Genomic DNA, 20,523 nt, shown 5'->3' with positions numbered 1-20,523 from the left:
GAGGTTAACAAGACATTTGTCCGTGGAACTATCCTCCCTCCAAACAAACAAACAGTTAATGTGGCCCTTGAAGTTAATTTTCTGTAAACACACACACACACACACACACACACACACACACACATACACAGACACTTACTGTTTCACAAACCAAATCACCTGAAAGGCAGCGCCATCTCATCTGTGTATATGATAGGGAAGGGGTAAATAAATTTACTCAGTATGGGAAATTCATCTTCTAAGCTCTTGTTACCCGGTCCTGCCCAAAGACACCCTGGCATGAATAACATGCAGGAAGTTGGACATGTTACTCTAGTCCAACCTCAGTTGTTTCACTCTGTCCTCTGCAGAAATATCTAGAGGTCCAGGCAAGAAGCATACCTCCTGAGTGAAACGTGTTATAAACACCATAACCATAATATTAGCAGAATTCTCATGAATTCTAGCTCAAGCGCACTCAGATCATAGTGGTATTAATGATACAGATACTGCTTTCCCATTGCTTACAGCAATTGTGGCCATGATTACCATACTTTTTAAGAATAAATTTGCAAAACAATAACTAGTATACTGAAATGATAGAATTATGGGACATGTGGAAAAAGCTTTAGAACTCTTGCAGTCTAAGGCTGGGCATGGTGGCTTATGCTTGTAATCCCAGCACTTTGGGAGGCCAAGGCAGGCAGATTACCTGAGGTCAGGAGTTCTAGACCAGCCTGGCCAACATAGGGAAACCCCGTCTCTACTAAAAATATTTTTTAAAAATTAGCCAGGCAAGGTGGTGGCACCTGTAGTTCCAACTATTCAGAAGGCTGAGGCAGGAGAATCACTTGAACCTGGGAGACAGAGGTTGCAGTGACCCAAGATCAGGCCACTGCTCTCCAGTCTGGGTGACACAGTGAGACTGTGTCTCAAAAACAAAAAAAACTTTTCCAGCCTACCCTCCACCTACAGCTAAGAAAACATACCCAGTTGTAGAAATAGTCACATTTGCAATTCCTTAATGTTTAAAGCAATCACCCCCACTATATTTAAATGTGTGATGACAGCAGATCTTATGTGGTAGCCATCCTCCAACATCAGGACTTTCTTCCTTTCATACATATTAGCTAAGTATGTTTATATTTATTCTGGCCTTGTTGTCTGACTTTACATCCTTTTAAATTTTCTTTCTTCAAATATCAACTTATCCTCAATATGAGGCACTTTCTCACCTTTGTTTTCTCTGACTCCCATCTATCCTATATTCTAAATTGTAGTTTGTCTTTGTCTACAGTTCACTGTTGTCCAACAGAACTTCTATGCTATTCCAGAACTTAGCATGCATCATCTATCAGGTATCTATTGCCTCAATAATGCTTCTTGACATACTGCCACAGAACTCAGTAGCTTAAGACAATAACAGCTCAAGAGTCCGCAGGTCAGGGCTTTAGGCTTTGCTCTGCTGGGTGATTCTTCTTGTATCAGTTGGTCTCATTCATGTGCCTAATATTTGCCTGGTATGACATAAGTGACTGGGCCACATGCCTCTCATCTTCTAGCAGGTTTGCCTGGACAGATGTGTTTTCATGGTTTTGGCTGAGATGTGACAGAAACAGCAAAAATTTACAAGGCTTTTTTAGGCTTCTGCTTAAGCCAAGTCTGCTAACATCCTATTGGACAAAGCAGGCTACATGCCTGAGGCTACAGTCAGAGAGGACACTGCAAAGGTACATGGCAAAAGGATGGAAGGGTGAGGAAGTGGGGCTGTTAATGCAATCATTTCACCATATATCCTGAATAAAAACTTAATTATGAATGAAAGTAATATTGAATTTGACTGTACAGGGCCCAGGTGATTTTGAGGCATAGATTATTTTGGTCACTTATATCAACAATCACGAATTTATATTTGTCACAGAGAGCAGTCTTTAGCACCATCTGACAATTGATGCTTTCTTTTGCAATAAAGAACAACTAGTATATAAATTATGTGTTATTTAATTCAATTTAATAAACATTAATTTACCACATATAGTGAATGAATAAACAGCCTATTGAGCAGCATAAATATAACAAGAGATCCCTACTGCACTCGAAATGGTCCCCATCTTTTCTAGTAGCATATCGACAGTGTGACACTCATACGATCTGAACCCAAGAAGTTAGAAAATAGGAATCTTGGCCAGGTGCAGTGGCTCATGCCTGTAATCCTAGCACTTTGGGAGGCCAAGGCAGGAGAATCCCTTGAGCCCAGGAGTTCAAGACCAGCCTGGGCAACGTAGGGAAACCCTGTCAAGAAAGAGAGAAAGAAAGAGAGAGAGAAAGGGAGGAAGGGTGGGCCTGAGGGAGGGAGGAAAGAAAGAAAGAGAGAAAGAAAGAAAAAGAAAGAAAGAGAGAAAGAAAGAAAAAGAGGGAAAGAAAGAAAGAGAGAAAGAAAAAGAAAGAGAGAAAAAGAGGGAAAGAAAGAAAGAAAAAGAAAGAGAAAGAGAGAAAGAAAGAGAAAGAGAGAAAGAAAGAAAGGAAGGAAGGAAGGAAGGAAGGAAGGAAAGAAAGAGAAACAAAAAGGAAGGAAGGAAGAAAGAAAAATGTTTCCTGGTTTAATTGGTGATGGACTCATACACATGAAACAAAATACCAGACATGGCCAGGCCTGGTGGCTCGCACCTATAATCCCAGCATTTTGGAAGGCCACAGTGGGAGGATCTCTTGAGGCCAGGAGTTAGAAACCAGTCTGGTCTACATAGTGAGACCCGATCTTTACAAAAGATAGATAGATAAATAAATAAATAAATAAAATAGTTGGGTATGGTAGTGCATGATGTAGTCCCAGTTATTTGGAAGGCTGAATAGGAGAATCACTTGAGTTCAAAGCTACAATGAGCCATTATCACACCACTGCACTGTAGCCTGGGCAACAGAGCAAGACCCTGCCTCAAAACCAACAAACAAACCCAGACATAATGAAGAAAAGATACAAAATTCAGGGAAGGAATTCTTAGCCTTTCTAGATCACTGGGGTGGCCACATGAGGTGGTGACTGTGCATCTAATAGTTTTCCAAAAGTTACTCTGAGGGCAGCAGTTGGCACTGCTTGTGGGAATATAAGTTGAATTGCATATATTACATTCCAAGGACGGAAAGAATTAGAAGTGTTCTATCTGGAAAGTGATACGCTATCATTGAAATTTCTCCAGTCTGCTGCACAGAAATAGGGTATGTTCACCCTGAGAAGCAGATGGGTGGGGGCATGACATAGACAGCATGACTTATTATGACTCTTTGACATAACTGAGAGAGCTCACATTGTATGTTATATACCTCAACAACTTTCTCCATCAGACTCTTGATGAGAATTAACAACTAGAAGAAAAATGGCTTTTCCTGAGGTTTTTCCTTTCCCTTTCCTTACCCTGTCAGAGTGGATTTTTTAAAAAAGAAGTGAAATTCTATAATATAAGCTTGGGAAAGAGAAGAAGGAAGAACCCAGTTATCCCTGTAAACAAAATGACATGTGATGGTCTTTCATGGTTTGGAGACCTTAGTAGAGACTGACCTATTAATGGTAACCCAGGAAATATGGATTCTCCTAGTTAAAAAGAAGCAACACACACTTATCATATTAGACTCTCAATAAATGCATGTGTGTAGAAAAAAAATTATTTGTCTTATTTAATGGCCCTATCCCCAACTTTCCAGGACTAAGAGATTTTACAACAGAGTTCTCACCTTAAAGATTCCACTAGATGGAGATCCTGAGCCATATTCCATGGTTTATGACAAAAAGAAATGTGAAAAAAAAAAAAATCAAACATTTTATTTTGCTTTTTGCTTCATTTTTCTAGCTTTTTTTGAAAGACTGCAGAGTAGAATTACTTACTGGTTGGTATATTAAAGAAAATCTGGCATGTACAAACAAGTTCTTCAAAGGTTTTTAGTAACACCTATCACAGGAGGCTGAATTGATACCAGAAACCAGGAGTGTACAAATCCATGATGGTATTTTATTATCAAAGAGAACTGGAAGGGGCTTGTGCTTTTCTTTAAAATCACAGTGACAAAATAACACATCAATTATTTGAACTGATTTGTTTATAATGACATTTACCTTAACTCAGATGATTGGATTCTGTCAACTCAAAATTCCTTTGTTCCTAGTCTAGTAAATAAGATAAAGTCAAGATGAAAAAAGTAGAGGGATGTAAATTTCTAAGGCTGTGAACTAAATGGCTCTTGCTATAATTACTGACAGATATTTGAATGCCATTGTGGGTTGACTCTCATGCATGTCACCTGGGTTCTGAAGGAAGAGGGTCATGAACTCCTTTGGTCATAAGAACATATGCATTTCCAGTGCTGCACACTGGGTAAGAGAGCCACTAGAAGCTGCCACCAAAAGCCTAAGCAGTGGGGCTAGCTGGCTCTTCTACAGACATATAAGGACTCTCCAGGATGTCATGAAGACCTTATGGCCAATAGTTCCATCGCCTCCTCTTTTTCACAAATGGAGTCCAAAGGCCCCACCTGAGTGAATGGCAGAGCCTGGACCAGAAGTTCCCCTCCCAATGCCTGGCATTCCGCTGATTGCTTCCCACTGTTTGTCTGAGTTGATCTGAGTTCTTCCATGAAAAGCTTAACTTCTAAGGTTATGAAACCTGTAAAAGTCAGCCACACAGCCTTCTCAAAGGGGTAGGATGTAAAGGGATTTACATCAGGGAGACCAGCAGAATCAGAGGACAGTGCCACACTGGCCATATATTGTGGGACTCTTGTTCTTCAGGCCTCAGTATATTCGTCTGAAAATTGAGGAGGGTGGAGAAGACAATCTCCTTGTGCTGTGTTCATACACAGGTGTATCAATTGCTCTGGCAAGCTCAGATAAACTTGAGAAAATAATTCTAGGTAGTTTTATTGCCTCTGTCTCCCTCAAAATAACATAGTTCACTTGGGGAAATTGCTTTGGTGATCACCACACTACTAAAACAACCCATTACAAAGATTTATTTGGGAATATAGAAGTTAATCTTCCATCAGGGGCTATTTTAATTATTTGTTAAGGATTCCAGTTGAATTCTATTGTAATGAAATTGGTAGGCCATCAAAATAACCCAAATACCATTCTACAAAGAAAAGATGTATTTAGATATTAGGTATGATGGTGGTGGTTATTATTATTATTATTTTATACTTTAAGTTCTAGGGTACATGTGCACAACGTGCAGGTTTGTTACATATGTATACATGTGCCATGTTGGTGTGCTGCACCCATTAACTCGTCATTTACATTAGGTATATCTCCTAATGCTATCCCTTCCCCCTCCCCCAACCCCACGACAGGCCCCAGTGGGTGATGTTCCCCTTCCTGTGTCCAAGTGTTCTCATTGTTCAATTCCCACCTATGAGTGAGAACATGCGGTGTTTGGTTTTTTGTCCTTGCAATAGTTTGCTGAGAATGATGGTTTCCAGCTTCATTCATGTCCCTACAAAGGACATGAACCCATCCTTCTTTATGGCTGCATAGTATTCCATGGTGTATATATGCCACATTTTCTTAATCCAGTCTATCATTGATGGACATTTGGGTTGGTTCCATGTCTTTGCTATTGTGAATAGTGCTGCAATAAACATACGTGTGCATGTGTCTTTATAGCAGCATGATTTATAATCCTTTGGGTGTATACCCAGCAATGGGATGGCTGGATCAAATGGTATTTCTGGTTCTAGATCATTGAGGAATCGCCACACTGTTTTCCACAATGGTTGAACTAGTTTATAGTCCCACCAACAGTGTAAAAGTGTTCCTATTTCTCCACATCCTCTCTAGCACCTGTTGTTTCCTGACTTTTTAATGATCGCCATTCTAACTGGTATGAGATGGTATCTCATTGTGGTTTTGATTTGCATTTCTCTGATGGCCAGTGATGATGAAGATTTTTTCATGTCTGTTGGCTGCATAAATGTCTTCTTTTGAGAAGTGTCTGTTCATGTCCTTTGCCCAGTTTTTGATGGGGTTGTTTGTTTTTTTCTGGTAAATTTGTTTGAGTTCATTGTAGATTCTGGATATTAGCCCTTTGTCAGATGAGTAGATTGCAAAAATTTTCTCCCATTCTGTAGGTTGCCTGTTCACTCTGATGATAGTTTCTTTTGCTGTGCAGAAGCTCTTTAGTTTAACTAGATCCCATTTGCCAATTTTGGCTTTTGTTGCCATGGCTTTTGGTGTTTTAGACATGAAGTCCTTGCCTCTGCCTGTGTCCTGAATGGTATTGCCTAGGTTTTCTTCTAGGGTTTTTATGGTTTTAAGTCTAACATTTAAGTCGTTAATCCATCTTGAATTAATTTTTGTATAAGGTGTAAGGAAGGGATGCAGTTTCAGCTTTCTACATATGGCTAGCCAGTTTTCCCAGCACCATTTATTAAATAGGGAATCCTTTCCCCATTTCCTGTTTTTGTCAGGTTTGTCAAAGATCAGATGGTTGTAGATCTGTGGTATTATTTCTGAGGGCTCTGTTCTGTTCCATTGGTCTGTGTCTCTGTTTTGATACCAATACCATGCTGTTTTGGTTACTGTAGCCTTGTAGTATAGTTTGAAGTCAGGTAGCATGATGCCTCCAGCTTTGTTCTTTTGGCTTAGGATTGTCTTGGCAATGCGGGCTCCTTTTTGGTTCCATATGAACTTTAAAGTAGTTTTTTCCAATTCTGTGAAGAAAGTCATTGGTAGCTTGATGGGGATGGCATTGAATCTATAAATTACCTTGGGCAGTATGGCCATTTTCACGATATTGATGATTCCTATTCGTGAGCATGGAATGTTCTTCCATTTGTTTGTGTCCTCTTTTATTTTGTTGAGCAGTGTTTTGTAGTTCTCCTTGAAGAGGTCCTTCACATCCCTTGTAAGTTGGATTCCTAGGTATTTTATTGTCTTTGAAGCAGTTGTGAATGGGAGTTCACTCATGATTTGGCTCTCTGTCTGTTACTGGTGTATAAGAATGCTTGTGATTTTTGCACATTGATTTTGTACCTGAGACTTTGCTGAAGTTGCTTATCAACTTAAGGAGATTTTGGGCTGAGACGATGGGGTTTTCTAGCTATACAATCATGTCATCCGCAAACAGGGACAATTTGACTTCCTCTTTTCCTAATTGAATACCCTTTATTTCTTTCTCCTACCTGATTGCCCTGGCCAGAACTTCCAACACTATGCTGAATAGGAGTGGTGAGAGAGGGCATCTCTGTCTTGTGCCAGTTTTCAAAGGGAATGCTTCCAGTTTTTGCCCATTCAAAGGCCTTTGACAAAATTCAACAGCCCTTCATGCCAAAAACTCTCAATAAATTAGGTATTGATGGGACATATCTCAAAATAATAAGAGCTATTTACGGTTATTATTTTTTTAACCATTTCCATAAAGCCAATGTTTACTATATTCTCTATATTTATAACACTATCAAACTCAAGATAGTAAACTATTTGGGGAATTTCAAATGAAGGTATGGCTCTAAGTTTATTCATTTGTTCAGTTCCTATGTGAAAGTGCTCATGAATATTCACAATAAACCGTGTGAGATTTGGGTGCGGAGATCCAACTTTCAGTGGGCTTGGTTGGGTTATTTTGTTGCCAGTCTTTCTAATAGATGATGGAGGTCTGCTTGTGCGTACAGTATTGTTTTTATGCTAAGCCTAAATCTCAGTGGGATTTAGGAAAGGGTCCCTCAACTGCAAGATAACAGAAAATGCTGTTGAAAGAGACAAGTGCTTAGGATAGTAAAATAAATATGGGGAGATAGAAACCATACATTGGAGGTCTGTATGGTATTTTAGTTGACTCTCATTGTAAGTGATGGAAACCAACCCAGAGCAGCTTGAAAAAAACGGGGGTATTTCTTATGAGGATAGAGGAGGTCTCATTGCATCCGGTGACAGGAAAAGAGCTGGACCTCAGACAGGACTCAAAGGATCTGGACACCCATCAAGTATTTAGAGAGGGCTCACTTTCTATTGCTGTTCTATGTCCTTCCACTTGTTTCTCTCCTTCTGCCTTTCAATAGACCTGAAGAGAATAAGGTAGATATTGCATAGTGCCTGCATTGACAGTTTCTCAGCAAAAAAAGAAAAAATAAATAAATAAGACCAATCAGACTGACTGACCGGTTATTTCTATACTAATCCCAAATTCTTGAGGAGGCAAATCTGAGTGGACTGACTTGGGGCCATGTGCCCATCTTGATTTGAACAACTCTGATCTGGGGAGGGGACAGGACACACAGGGCTTCTGAACCCACTCTTGGGGATGTCATGGTAGCTCTCAAGAGGTCTGTCATCCAGGAAATAGCAGTGTTAGATGGGGAAGGAGGCTGGGGAGCCTAATGAGATCAGATAATTTCATGTAAATCCTTTCTCTCTCCCTTAGTACTCACAAGACTTCAGACAAGTTATTTAACCCTCACCTTCTTAGTTTCTTCACTGTAAAATGAGGGTGTCCATAGCACTGTTGAGAAGATGAAAACAACAAATCCATGTAAAGTTGACAGCACAGTGCCAAGAACATAACTAATAAATATTGGTTTTGATACTGTCATTATTAAAAGGTACAGATATTTTAAAAGAAAATATCCAGTTACCTTGAGTCAATTTCTGAGGCTGTAGAAACTTGTTAGTAACCTCTCATTTTGCAATCCTCCCTTTTCTGTCATTAAATGTAGACATTACATTCAAATGCCCACTTTATACTAAGACTTAGAGGAAGGTTCAGAGGACTCTTTCTCCCTCACGTTCCCCTCAGCCCTGCTAGTCTTGGCTCTTCTGCCAAAACCATTACACTTAGAATCATTTACACTTCCTGACTTTCCCCCAGTCTGAGTCTTCTCCTCTGCTTTACCTATCTCTAACTATCCTCTATTTTGAAATTGTCTGACACTCATATTCCCACACCACTACCCCCACCTTGGCTTGTTTTCTCTTCTCTGTTAACAACTTTATCTCTAAACAGCTTCAAGTCTTCAAATCTCTGAGACCTTCCTACCTTCCTTAAAAATGTGAGGGCCACTGCCCCATCAGGGGGAATGTCTACAGCCATTAAGTCCTATAGGTAGCAAGAACTCTCCATGCAAAAAAAGAAAACAAGAAAAGCCCAATTTTGAGAATTGATGCCAGATTTACTAAGAATATTATAACATGTGATCATTCTAAAGTAATTGCTATTGCTGAGTGTAACACTATATAATAGGCATATTAACTAGGTTGGCTGGTAAATGAACAAGGACTTTAGAATACATCTGTTCTACATAAGATTTTCATTTAAGGGAGCTAATTATATCCATACCAGCAACCTTGGGTTAGTGTGGGCTATCGACCATGAGTTGGCAATGGCCTCATTATGTAGAACTGAGTGTTATAAATGATAGTCATTAAGACGGGATTTTACCTTTATTTAGAGGCCAAAGATACAAAATGTAGAGTTTCTCAAATTGGGCTTTCTGGGAAAGTTCCAAGCTGATAGAAGAGGATGAAAGAGAACAACTTTGGAAAACTGTGTGGTGGTAGCAATAACAAAGATGACGGGTTCAGCCTCCCTCCCCACATACTTTTCCGGCTGTTTCCTTTACCTAGTGACTGCATTGACTTGCCTTTGATCTTTCCTTCTCCTCCTTATCTCGTTATCTTCACATTTCCTGCCAACCTCTTCATACTACCCCCCTTTCTAATCCAGTGTAAGACAAAGGAAAGAGTCAGGTAATATACTATCCTTAAATCCTAAAAATCATAGGAAGCAAAAATACGAGGTGAAACATGAAGATGTCAAGAGATAGAATGAGTTAGCCAAGGAATTAGACACACTAGTTCTTACCCTGGATAAGTAGGTGGGGCAGGCACACGTTTGAGATGTTGGAAGAGGCGACATTTTTAGTTTTCTGAAGCATATTATAGTTTTTGGTACCTGGGAGAGTCAGGCATCCATTGACTTGCAATGAGCAGGAAAGTCCTGCCCAGTAAAAAAATTTGTTGTACTCCAAATGCCAATAGTTCCACTGTTGCAAAAATTTAGTGGAGTGAAATAGACTGATTATTTAGATCAGGAGTCACAAAATGGCCATTGAGCCATTGACTGTGGCCAGGAGATGTGTTTTGTTTGGCCTGAAGCATGTTTTATAAAAATTTAAATTTAAATAGTGGAGAGGCACATTTTCTATTTCTCCATAATGCCTAGCTCCCACTTGCCTGTTGTTATTAATCATATCACTTATTTATGTTACCCACTTGGAACTTGAAGGCATTTGAATCTGCCTGGTGACTTTGATTTAGGTGTCGCAAATCTACATTATTGAAATGAAAAGCAAACCCTGAATTCCCCCTGGTATTGGTTTGAGTTGTGAATTGTTTGGCTTTATGGATCATCTCTACCATAGTTTACAAGGGGCAGCTCCTGGGACACTGCAAAGAACTTTAATTCTCCAATTTCTCTTGTACTCTGATATGAATTTACTGGTTCCTCTTACAATTTATCTAAGCCCCTGTAGAAAGTATTTGTATTTTATACATTTGTTTATACATGATTTATGCGTTTTCTAAAAGGCTTTGAGGCAGTTTACAGTAACAGCACAATTAAAAATAAAAACAGAAGCATTTAAGAGATCAATTAAGAGGAGTAGAACTACCAGGATTAATTTGTCACTTCAGTTAGATTCAGCTCTGTGCTTCTTTGGATAAACCAAAGAATGGATTGTGTACTTCCTATTGTCAAATTAAAAGAAGCATACACATTTGGTGAGATAGATCTCTTGAGCTGATATTGAAGTCTAAACATATTTTATTGTATGAAGTTTTATAATGTGACTATTCCTATTAATACTTTCAGCCAGTCTGCATTTATTCCTATAAAAATAGATTATCTATCCAACAAAACAACATTCTCTCCAGAGTGCCCTGGATTCAGTTATGCACAGATGTGGAAGACCAATAAATACTTTTGAAAATAAGTACTTTTGAAAATCTTTGGACATTGATATTCAGATGTTTCATATACATAGGACAAAGATTATAAGGGAAATGGCTGTTGATGCCAAAGTTTGTGAAGCAGCTTGGGGCATAGATGCTTTTTAGAAAGGACACTAAAAACATGGCACTAGATTTAGGTAGTGTGTGGAAATGATACTGGTAGGTAACCTTCCTTTCATGCTAAAGCCTTTGCCTGTCAAAAGCAGTAATTGGTTTATTTCAAGGATTTATAAAGCCTAGTTACTACCACTGTTGTGAAGATCAGCTTTTCTTTTCTGAAACCTGAGGTCTAGTTATGGGATTGTGGCCTTCATGTTTTGTGACCACATGCACAAAAACGCCCCTAGATATTTTCTCTGTATGAGACAGTCTATGGATGAAAGTGATTTGTTTGACATCGTGTGGGTACAGACAGGTGGAAGACCTGACTGGTGACAAATGGCAATTTACCTGGCCCTGTATTTTAGAGACTAGGTCCTTGGAGCCACCACTGCATTGCCTAAGGCATGACACAGCAAGTTTCTTACTGGAACCTCTGTTTCCCCAAGAATTATGTAGTGTTTATCTTCTTTTCTTTTTCCAAGAAGTTTAAGGAGAAATTTAGAGCCAAGTTGCTTTAACTTACTTTTTGATTGCCAACATAATTCTCTCCCACTTTTCCTCTGACACATTTGAAAAATCACACACAGACACACACACACACACATGCATTTGTACATATCTATAATAGAATATATTTTATAATACAATATGTTTGGCATTTATATATATCATGGCATTGTATTCTAAGTGACTTCAAAATCCTTTTGGAAGTCAGAGGGTATAAGTTATAAATAAATTAAAGAAATAATATTCATTTTCAGTGCTTTTTAGCAATCCTGCCATATTTCTATCTTTCATCTGACTTTTTAATTGGACAATTCTATGTGGCCACAATGGAGCCTCACAATAAATATCTATGGAATGTCTTGTTCCCTCTTGCTTCTAATACGGCTCTAACACATTTTGAAAACAGGAGATCTTATAAATTTTAATATTAAATGACAGTGATCAAGGTTGCTTGTAGATTTAGGCACCCCCTCTTTCTCTGTGTCCTTGGATGTGATGTGTGAACCTCCTCCTTGCTGTGAGATGCCTGTGAACATGTTAAGCATTTGTGAAAATACCTATGGTCACATAACTATTTTGGGGGATCACCAGGTCTTATAGATGTGTGTACCAGTGTAGATCCAAATATGTTCAACTTGGAGAAACCTTGGCAAACTTTTGAGGGAGGAAGTGTCTTGATTTCATTGAGAGGTGGCTTAGGGGCTGCTGGGGATCATCCTGGCAGGCCTCCTGCTCTCTGAGAGGTACAGGAGACTCCTAAATCACCTATTGTGCAAACACCTATTTCCTAGCAAGTTGTGGTTATAAGATTATATGTCCATATCAAGGTTTTGATGGTGCCATAAACCACTCAAGCTCAGCTCTTATAATTTATTGAAACATCAGCTCCCCTCAAGGGAATTACAGGCTGATAATTACCATTTGTCCGGGTGCTATAAACCAAGTCAAGCAAGGTTGGATTTCTCTACGACAGAAATAAATGCTATGTTAGGCGACAGGGGGAGACTTTTACTAAAACTAAACAGATGGGAATCCTGCCACCCAAATGAGGTTCTTTTGATATACATACTCTCTCATTTCTCCTCACCATACATGGAGAAAGTGGCTTAATGCCTGAAAAGATCGGTTTTGGAGGAGTTTCTGTGATAACCAGTTTTCCTTTTGAACATCTCCAGAAGCTTTTGTTTTTATCATCATGGGCTTTGTCTCAGGACTCCTGGCTCAGTTTCCACCCCTCTGCTTTCCCCTTGTCCTTTCCTCTTGAGCGTCTGCCTCTGTTGGACTTGCCCTTTTCAGCAACACAGCCTTTTCAGTAGCTCGCTTACATGGGGAAAAGCCTATTCTGCACTGGGACCCACCTAGGCTCTCACATCAATAAAGCAAGTTGATGGCAGGTTTAACACATTCCCCAATTATTGTCTGCAGATGCTTTTCATAAATAATCTCTGAAACCTTTCACATACAAGAAAACACTCTCCTGGCAAAATAATCGTGTTTGGGAGCTTGAAAAGGAAAACCATAACAAAGAAAGAATAGAAAATATTCACTGACAGGAGCTTCCCAGCCATAGACCTGACTCCTGTTCAGAGGGATAAAAGCAGAATAAAAGTCCCAAGGCATCATATCCTGACCCTGGGGTTACCATATTGGGACTTTTACTGAAACAGAGAATGGCTGCAAGAACACTTTTCCTTATTTTATCATTGCCATGGTTATGTTTTGCTATATTTTCCATTCCCTCTTATCTCACTTCTCCCCTGCTGTGGAATCAGGTGGTTAATCACACCAGCTGGTTGTCTCTTCTCCATACCTTTGTCTGGAGAGTCTCTTAGATGGTGATCTCTGAAAGGCCGATCCAAAACTCTAGAGATGGCTGGGCCTCAAGCCCTTCTCCTGGCTTCTAGAAGGAGAAAGAGAAATCCTGAGATGTCCAGACATGCTTGATTGTAGGGAAAAATTGCACATATTTTTGGTCCGTCCCCTGTGGGCAGGCAGTCTCTGGTGAGTTAAATGTGAAGAACTTTTTCTCTCTTTATTAAAAATGTTTTTTTCTTTATCCCCTTTTTCTTCACCTTCTTATATAAAGTATTAGAACATTAATTTGAAGACATTCTCTTACATCTATTAGCATTACACATCCCTCTGGGAAGCACTGGTAATGCATGTGATCCCAGAAAGGCTAGGGCTGGCCACAGCTTAAAGCTCCAGAGGACTAAGTCCCCTCCATGCTCAGTCACTCAGCCACATCCATCTACAGTGAGGGGTAATCAGATCCTGGCCTGCTACAGCACAGCACAGCACAGCATTCATCCCTGCAGCACCCTCTAGATAACCACCACTCTGAAACTCAATTACTGTAGCCAGAGTGTCCTAAAGGATCCTAGGAAAGAACAAAATGCTTGTGCAGCATTAGGCAAGGGGAAAGACCTCTGTTGGCTTCCTCTCTTTTCCTCTCTTGAGATAAAATTCCACCTTGTTCTTTCATCCATCCAGAGAAGGGACTGGAGCTCTGTATGCCTTGCAAAAATAGGGGATGGGGAAAAGAAAGCAGAGCTTTTAATCAATGTTTGATGTCTCTGCAAAGTCCAGCTAGTCCTCTATTCACCAACTTGAATGCATTTAGTGTGAGCAAAGTGATACATCGACACTTTTTTTTTCATGCAGGCCAAATCCCAATTTCAAGGAGGCAGAAAAGCTGTCCAAAGGTCATAAAATACAGTAAGGCAGAGCTACAGCCTGGAGGCAGATGTGAGCTTTCTAAAAGCAGAGCAAAACTTCTTGGAGCCATTCTGCTCCAAGGGAGTGGGGAGAGAGGAGTGAAGGTCTGAACTTCAAATAAGTGTAAATAAAGCATTCCTCCTGCTCTGATTTTAATCTTTTCATTGGCTGCTTTCTGGGATGGAGTACCTAAGTGAGTGGATTTGCCTACTTACTCAATAAATCAAAGCTTTTCAGAATAGGATCATCAATAGGGACTCCTTACGCCAGGAAACTGTAATTGGAGGTAAATATTAATTCCAGAGGAAGGCCTTTGAGCCCAATAAGTGCAACAACAATATGTCTCTAAGGAGCCACTTCTTTTCTTTTCCATATCCATTGGAAGCAGATTATGGGAGCAAAGCTTATCTCCCATTTTTATCCATTTTAACAATGTTCTACCTACTGCTAAACTGAGCTGCCTTAAGCTCAGTACAAAGCCCTTTTCAGAGCATCTAACGGATAACTTAAAAAAAAAAAAAAAAACCTTTTCACATAGCTCTCCTGGTACCCTTTCAAGAGTTGCGGCTCTGTGCAGGCAGCCAGACTTGTGCTGGCTTTTGGGGACAAAAGCACACCAAGTATTATAACTACACTCATTATTTTAAGTTGCCGCCATACTCCTGCTCCTACCTTCTTTCTTTCTTGCAATGTTCACCCTTACCTCCCTTGAGATGGGCAGACCTATGGAGGCCGCTATGCTTTTTCTTTGTTCACTGGTCAGGAAAGCACAGTGAGCATCTCTTGTGTTAAATCGTCTCAGCTTTATCAGGCAACGGTGCCTAAAACTTACGGTCTCATCTGGAGACTTACTAGGCTGCCTGTGGCTAATACGATAAAAAAGAGAATTCAAAACAGGTGGAATGGGGGCCAGATGTTTCTAGAAGCCTGTGAATAGTTTGTTTCCATATCACCAGAGATAAAGGTGGACTGCTGTTCTCTCTGCTAATGAGAGAGATCTCTGGAATCTCATTTTCTTTCCACATAAGGATGGGGTGGTGTGCACTCTGCTGCTGCAGCTGAGGAGATTTCTGAGAACTCTGTGGTTTATTTTAAAATCTCTCAACATCACTTTGAAGTAAGTCTACTTTGAAGTAACTCTGAACCTGTTTCTGAAGAGTTTGATGTGTGTCTGAAAGGCGATTTCAGTAGTCCTCTCCTCCCAGCCCTGGTTCTTCCCTCTCCCCAGCTGCCATGTTGGCCTGAACAGGTTTTCTTACAGTCAGCCTCACTGAGGATGCCCCAGGCCCTGGCCCAGAATCACACTCCACTCAACGCAGTGCTGAGGAGAAAGGCAAACATTGCCTATTTCATTTGAGTCTTCGCTGTGGTCTGCTTCTCCCTGTACCCCCAGCTGCTTTCTTTCACTTCCTTTCAGCATTTGCCTGTTGATGCCATGTCTGCCCGATCTTGAGTAGTGTCATACTATTTACTTCCTGTCATCCCTCTCACAGATAGGCTCCCTTGGAAGCCAACCCTGAAGCAGAGGTTCTTGTGCACAGATTAGGGAGTGCTTTTGGGATCAGACCTGTGGAAAGAAGCGGTGGGAGGTAGGAGGGTGCAGAGGAAGTTGAACTACAATGCAGCCCCTCACCAAAGCCCCAGCTGACCCCAAGGAGTGGGGACTCTGGAGTCAGGATGGCCCTTCAGAGCTGTCTAAACTGGCACAGGAGACCAGGTCTTCATATGTTTATAGCATCGGATGTCTCTGGAAAGCAGCATGCCCTCCAGGAAAGATAGCTTCCTTCAACCAAGGAAATCCCCATAGGGAGCTCAGAGCTAAGGGCCCTCTTTGCCGCAGTGGGGGGAATAAATTCTACATCTTCAAAGGGAGATGAAGGCTAGGCATCATATCATCCACCACCAACAATTAGGTGGATCTGCAGGTAACCTCCTCCTGGTGGTTTTAAGGTGAGATACTTAGAGAAGGTGATGCCTTCAGAGAGTCTGCAACCTTTTCTCCACACAGCATGAGCCTGTTTAGACAGCAGCAAGAGCTGCACTCTTGACTCGCCCTGCAATATCAAACTATGGTCCCAGTTAGCCTGGCTTCCAAAACAGAACTGCCCATGAACAATGACTTCCTATCTCCTTGAAGCAGCATCTGATGTGCATCTTCTCCAGCAGCCCTGAAAACTGGTTCTGCCAGCTGGAGAGGGGAGAGCCAGCATTTAGACTCAACAGGAAGCTTGGATTTCAACAGAGAAAAAATACATAAATATTTATCTAATCACATAATTAAAGGAAATCTACTGCCCCATACAGTTGCAATCTAAATAACCCACTTCATTAAAATGCAGATGTTCTTGCGAAATTCTTTAAAATTTTTTCAAAAGGTTCTTTCCTCCATGGGTTTGTTTTTTAAAAGAAGAGACAAATATTTGTTATAAATATATAAGATATATAATTATATATGTATATATATATATATAGATATATATTTAACAGCATTTTGTTTTTACTCTGTACCCTCTTCCCATTTGACTATACAATATTATCAGTTATTAGTACTCAACAAGGATATTACCAAATGACATCATAAAACATTTTCATCTTTCACCATTACAGGACAGCAGGCAGATTTGTCTACACAGGTGAGGGAAATGGAGAGCTGAATTATTCAGTGAATTTGATTAATGTTTATGTCAGAGCAGGAACAAATGTATCAGTAATGGGAAGTTCAATTAGTGCTTTAATTAATTAGGTTCCTGTTTTTAGCTCTATTGTGAAAGATAATTATTTGTTAGCTTTGCTTAGGACCTGGGCTAAGGCCTTGATTACAGGTATTAAAAAATATAATGCAAGAGAATTGGGGCTCTGAAGAAACTTAAAGCTTGTGACAATAGAAAATGCCAGTGAAAATTCAAGCACATTGTCATTTACTGGAGTCATTAAAGCCTCCACTGAAAGTTAGAACAAAGTTCAAAATAAATGATTTTAACTGAAGTTAGAATTGTAAGGCCCTTTTGGTGCATTGTCTTCCTCTTCCACGGGAATTTAGGGCCACTTTTAACTGCTGTATCAAGACAATACGGCATTATGCATTTAACCAGGAAGCTGACTTTAGAGTCTCTTTCTCTCTGTCTCTTTCTCTGTGTCTGCCCGGAGCTTTTATTTTTACAATGATAAACCTATTCGCAAATAAGGATCATGGAGGCTTAATCTTATAACAAAAAATGGAGTAGTATCTGCAGGAGAGCCTGCGTAATTTAGATTTCTCCCCCTACTCACTGGTAGAGTTTAATCATATCCGAAAGGCACAGTGATTTAAGTGCCTGAGCATCTGCATATAGACTTTCCTTTTGTTCCTGATTTTAGTCTAGCCCGCAGTTCTCAAACTTCAGTGTGTACAAAGATTTCCATATAGGAATATACTCTTGAAACCGGGATAACTGTACCTCATGGACCAATTAAGAGAATTTCAAGGGCAATTTAAACTCTCTGAGAATTGTAAGAAGCAGAACAACTATTGAACCACTTCGTCCTGGAAATCAACTAAAGATGAAATCTTTTATCCCAAGTAACCATTCTCCGCAACTCTAGCGTTAACATATGACAAAACGATGTGGTACTGATGGAGTACTGAAGTTTATGAATGACTTGCTTTTTAATTTTGTATTTAAAAAGCATTCAGCGTTAGTCCTTATAAAGTGGAATGCGTAATCTTTGGCATCTGGGGATGCTTTGCTGAGTGGGAGCGAGGGAATTTCAACCAAGTATCCAGACATGGAATTTTTAGCTTAGCTGTTCGATGCTGTGGCCTTTTCCAGTGGGTTGTGGCTCTTAGACTATTGTTGTGTTTTTGATTTTACAGCTAATTTTCTTCTTAATGTTAACCATGGATACATTTTTCTAAAGGGAGGAAAACAGGAGTAGAGAAAGAAAACATCTAGATCATGTATGATAAAGAATGATACTGTAGCTATTTTTGTTCTTAACAACACAATAGCAATGCTCCAAATAAGGCAAAGAGATGTGAGAAGCATTTATAAATAATAATTTAAAATATTATGCAAATATATAAACCATGTGTTTATAATGTTTCAAACATGCTTTAAATTTTCTTCACTAGTCTATATTTGCACCTTTATTAGTATTATTCATGAAGCAAAATTAAGGTCTAGAAAAAAAAAGACTTGAAGTTCAGTTAAAAAGCTTGGTCAGGCCGGGCGCGGTGGCTCACGCCTGTAATCCCAGCACTTTGGGAGGCCGAGGCGGGTGGATCATGAAGTCAGGAGATCGAGACCATCCTGGCTAACAAGGTGAAACCCCGTCTCTACTAAAAATACAAAAAATTAGCCGGGCGCGGTGGCGGGCGCCTGTAGTCCCAGCTACTCGGGAGGCTGAGGCAGGAGAATGGCGTGAACCCAGGAAGCGGAGCTTGCAGTGAGCCGAGATTGCGCCACTGCAGTCCGCAGTCCGGCCTGGGCGACAGAGCGAGACTCCGTCTCAAAAAAAAAAAAAAAAAAAAAAGCTTGGTCAAAAAGAGACTCTTTGCCAGTCCGTCCTCTGTTCAAAGAAAGAAGAGATGACATTCTTCTTTCCTTTGAACATTGTAAGTCCATTTTCTCATTCAGTTACCTTTTGTTCATGAAGGGTCAGCTGAACCATTTGGTAGTAGAGGATATTTGCTGGATGGTCAGAGCAGCAGCCAGACATTTAGTGAGGGGAATTTTCATGAAAAGAAAAAGAAAACCAAATATTAATAGTTGGAAACCCAGTTTCCAAATCCAGAGGGCAGCCAGTTGAGGTCCAGACATTGGGCTTGAAGCATCTTAATGAGGACAGTTGTGGCAGGCTGACAGATTTACTGGGTTGCAATTTGAATGTCTTTGGTGATGGCATCAGTTTTGCTGGCTTGGCTGAGCCCAGACCTAGCCACAAGGCTCTTATATTTGTGGGGTCCCGGATAAGAGCACAAACAGAGCCCGCATATCATGGGCCTGAATATCTAAAGTTCTACGGCAAGTCACCAGACAGCTAAAGAAACATGTTCTATACATCTGTCTTGACAAATATGTGTTCATAATGATCAAGAAGGCTAGTTCAATTTGGAATTCTTGAAACTAAGTTCAGTGTCAACTAACTTAGAGGCAGTGGGATTGAGATGCCCTGATCTCTAGCTGCTAATCCACTCTGGCTCAATCGCAGACTTAGGAAAGGGGTTCGTGGAGACACAGGGGCAGTCTTGGGACCATCAGGGCAGATTTCAGTGTCTCAGGTGCCTGGAGTGTGGCCTAGATGGGAGCGCTCCCTACCCTGAGGGGAAAGGACCACTGGACAAAGTTCCTAAGGAGGTCTATAATGTATACAGCATGATTGTATTCATTTCTTATAGCTGCTGTAACAAATTACTACAAATGTGGAAGTTTAAAACAATCGAAATATATGATTTTCCAGTTCTGGAGGCCAAAGTCAGTATCACCAAACCAAGGTATCAGCAGGGCTTCTTTTTTCCCAGAGGCTGTTGGAGAAAACTTGTTCTTGTTTTCTTCTTCCAGCTTCTGGCAGCCGCTGGCATTCCTCATGTTATGACTGCATTACTCTAGTCTTCAAAGCCAACATCCTTAAATCCCTCTTTGCTTCACCTTCATATCCCCCACTCTGTGGGTGTATTCAAGTCTCTCTCTGCCTGTACATCATAAGGATAGAAGTGATTGCATTTAGGGTCCACCTGAATAATTCAGGGTCATCTCCTTATCTCAAGATTTTTCACCTAATCACATCTGCAAAGTCCCTCTTTTTTTTTTTTTTTTTTTTTGAGATGGAGTTTCACTCTTGTTGCCCAGGCTGGGGGGCAGAGGTGCAACCTCAGCTCACTGCAACCCCCACCTTCCAGTAGCAAGCAATTCTCCTGCCTCAGCCTCCCAAGTAGCTGGGATTACAGGCACCTGCCACCACACCCAGGTGGTTTTTGTATTTTTAGTAGAGACGGGGTTTCACCATGTTGGCCAGGCTGGTCTCAAACTCCTGACCTCATGATCCGCCCACCTCAGCCTCCCAAAGTGCTGGGATTGCAGGCGTGAGCCACCCTGCCTGGCCTGCACAGTCCCTCATTTTATATAAGGTAACATTTATGGGTTCCAGGGATTAGGACCTCATATCTTTGTGGGCCCATTGTTCAGCGTACCACAGCATTGTCATTGTCTGATGATTTAAATTACGGCATTTGAGGGGGAAAAAAGGCT

The 20,523-nt window shown here is 40.5% G+C and overlaps 1 protein-coding gene across 4 annotated transcripts in view, besides 2 other annotated features; it reads left to right on the top strand.

Annotated features, from left to right (window-relative positions):
* SLC9A9 (solute carrier family 9 member A9) overlaps positions 1 to 20,523 on the top strand; it is a 583,247-nt gene that overhangs the window by 80,968 nt on the left and 481,756 nt on the right. The gene's annotated exons all lie outside the window — the stretch shown is intronic.
* Positions 15,316 to 15,435: an enhancer, noted in NCBI's record as "active region_20659". NCBI's record gives its function as "activates an Ori minimal core promoter by ATAC-STARR-seq in GM12878 lymphoblastoid cells {active_cell/tissue: GM12878}" and the evidence as "EXISTENCE:reporter gene assay evidence [ECO:0000049][PMID:35858748]".
* Positions 15,496 to 15,845: an enhancer, noted in NCBI's record as "active region_20658". NCBI's record gives its function as "activates an Ori minimal core promoter by ATAC-STARR-seq in GM12878 lymphoblastoid cells {active_cell/tissue: GM12878}" and the evidence as "EXISTENCE:reporter gene assay evidence [ECO:0000049][PMID:35858748]".

Source organism: Homo sapiens, chromosome 3 (genome assembly GCF_000001405.40).
Source record: "Homo sapiens chromosome 3, GRCh38.p14 Primary Assembly".
Taxonomy (NCBI): Eukaryota; Metazoa; Chordata; class Mammalia; order Primates; family Hominidae; genus Homo; species Homo sapiens.
Note: the sequence above shows the minus strand (reverse complement) of the source record. Positions and strands in the feature narration are given on the sequence as shown.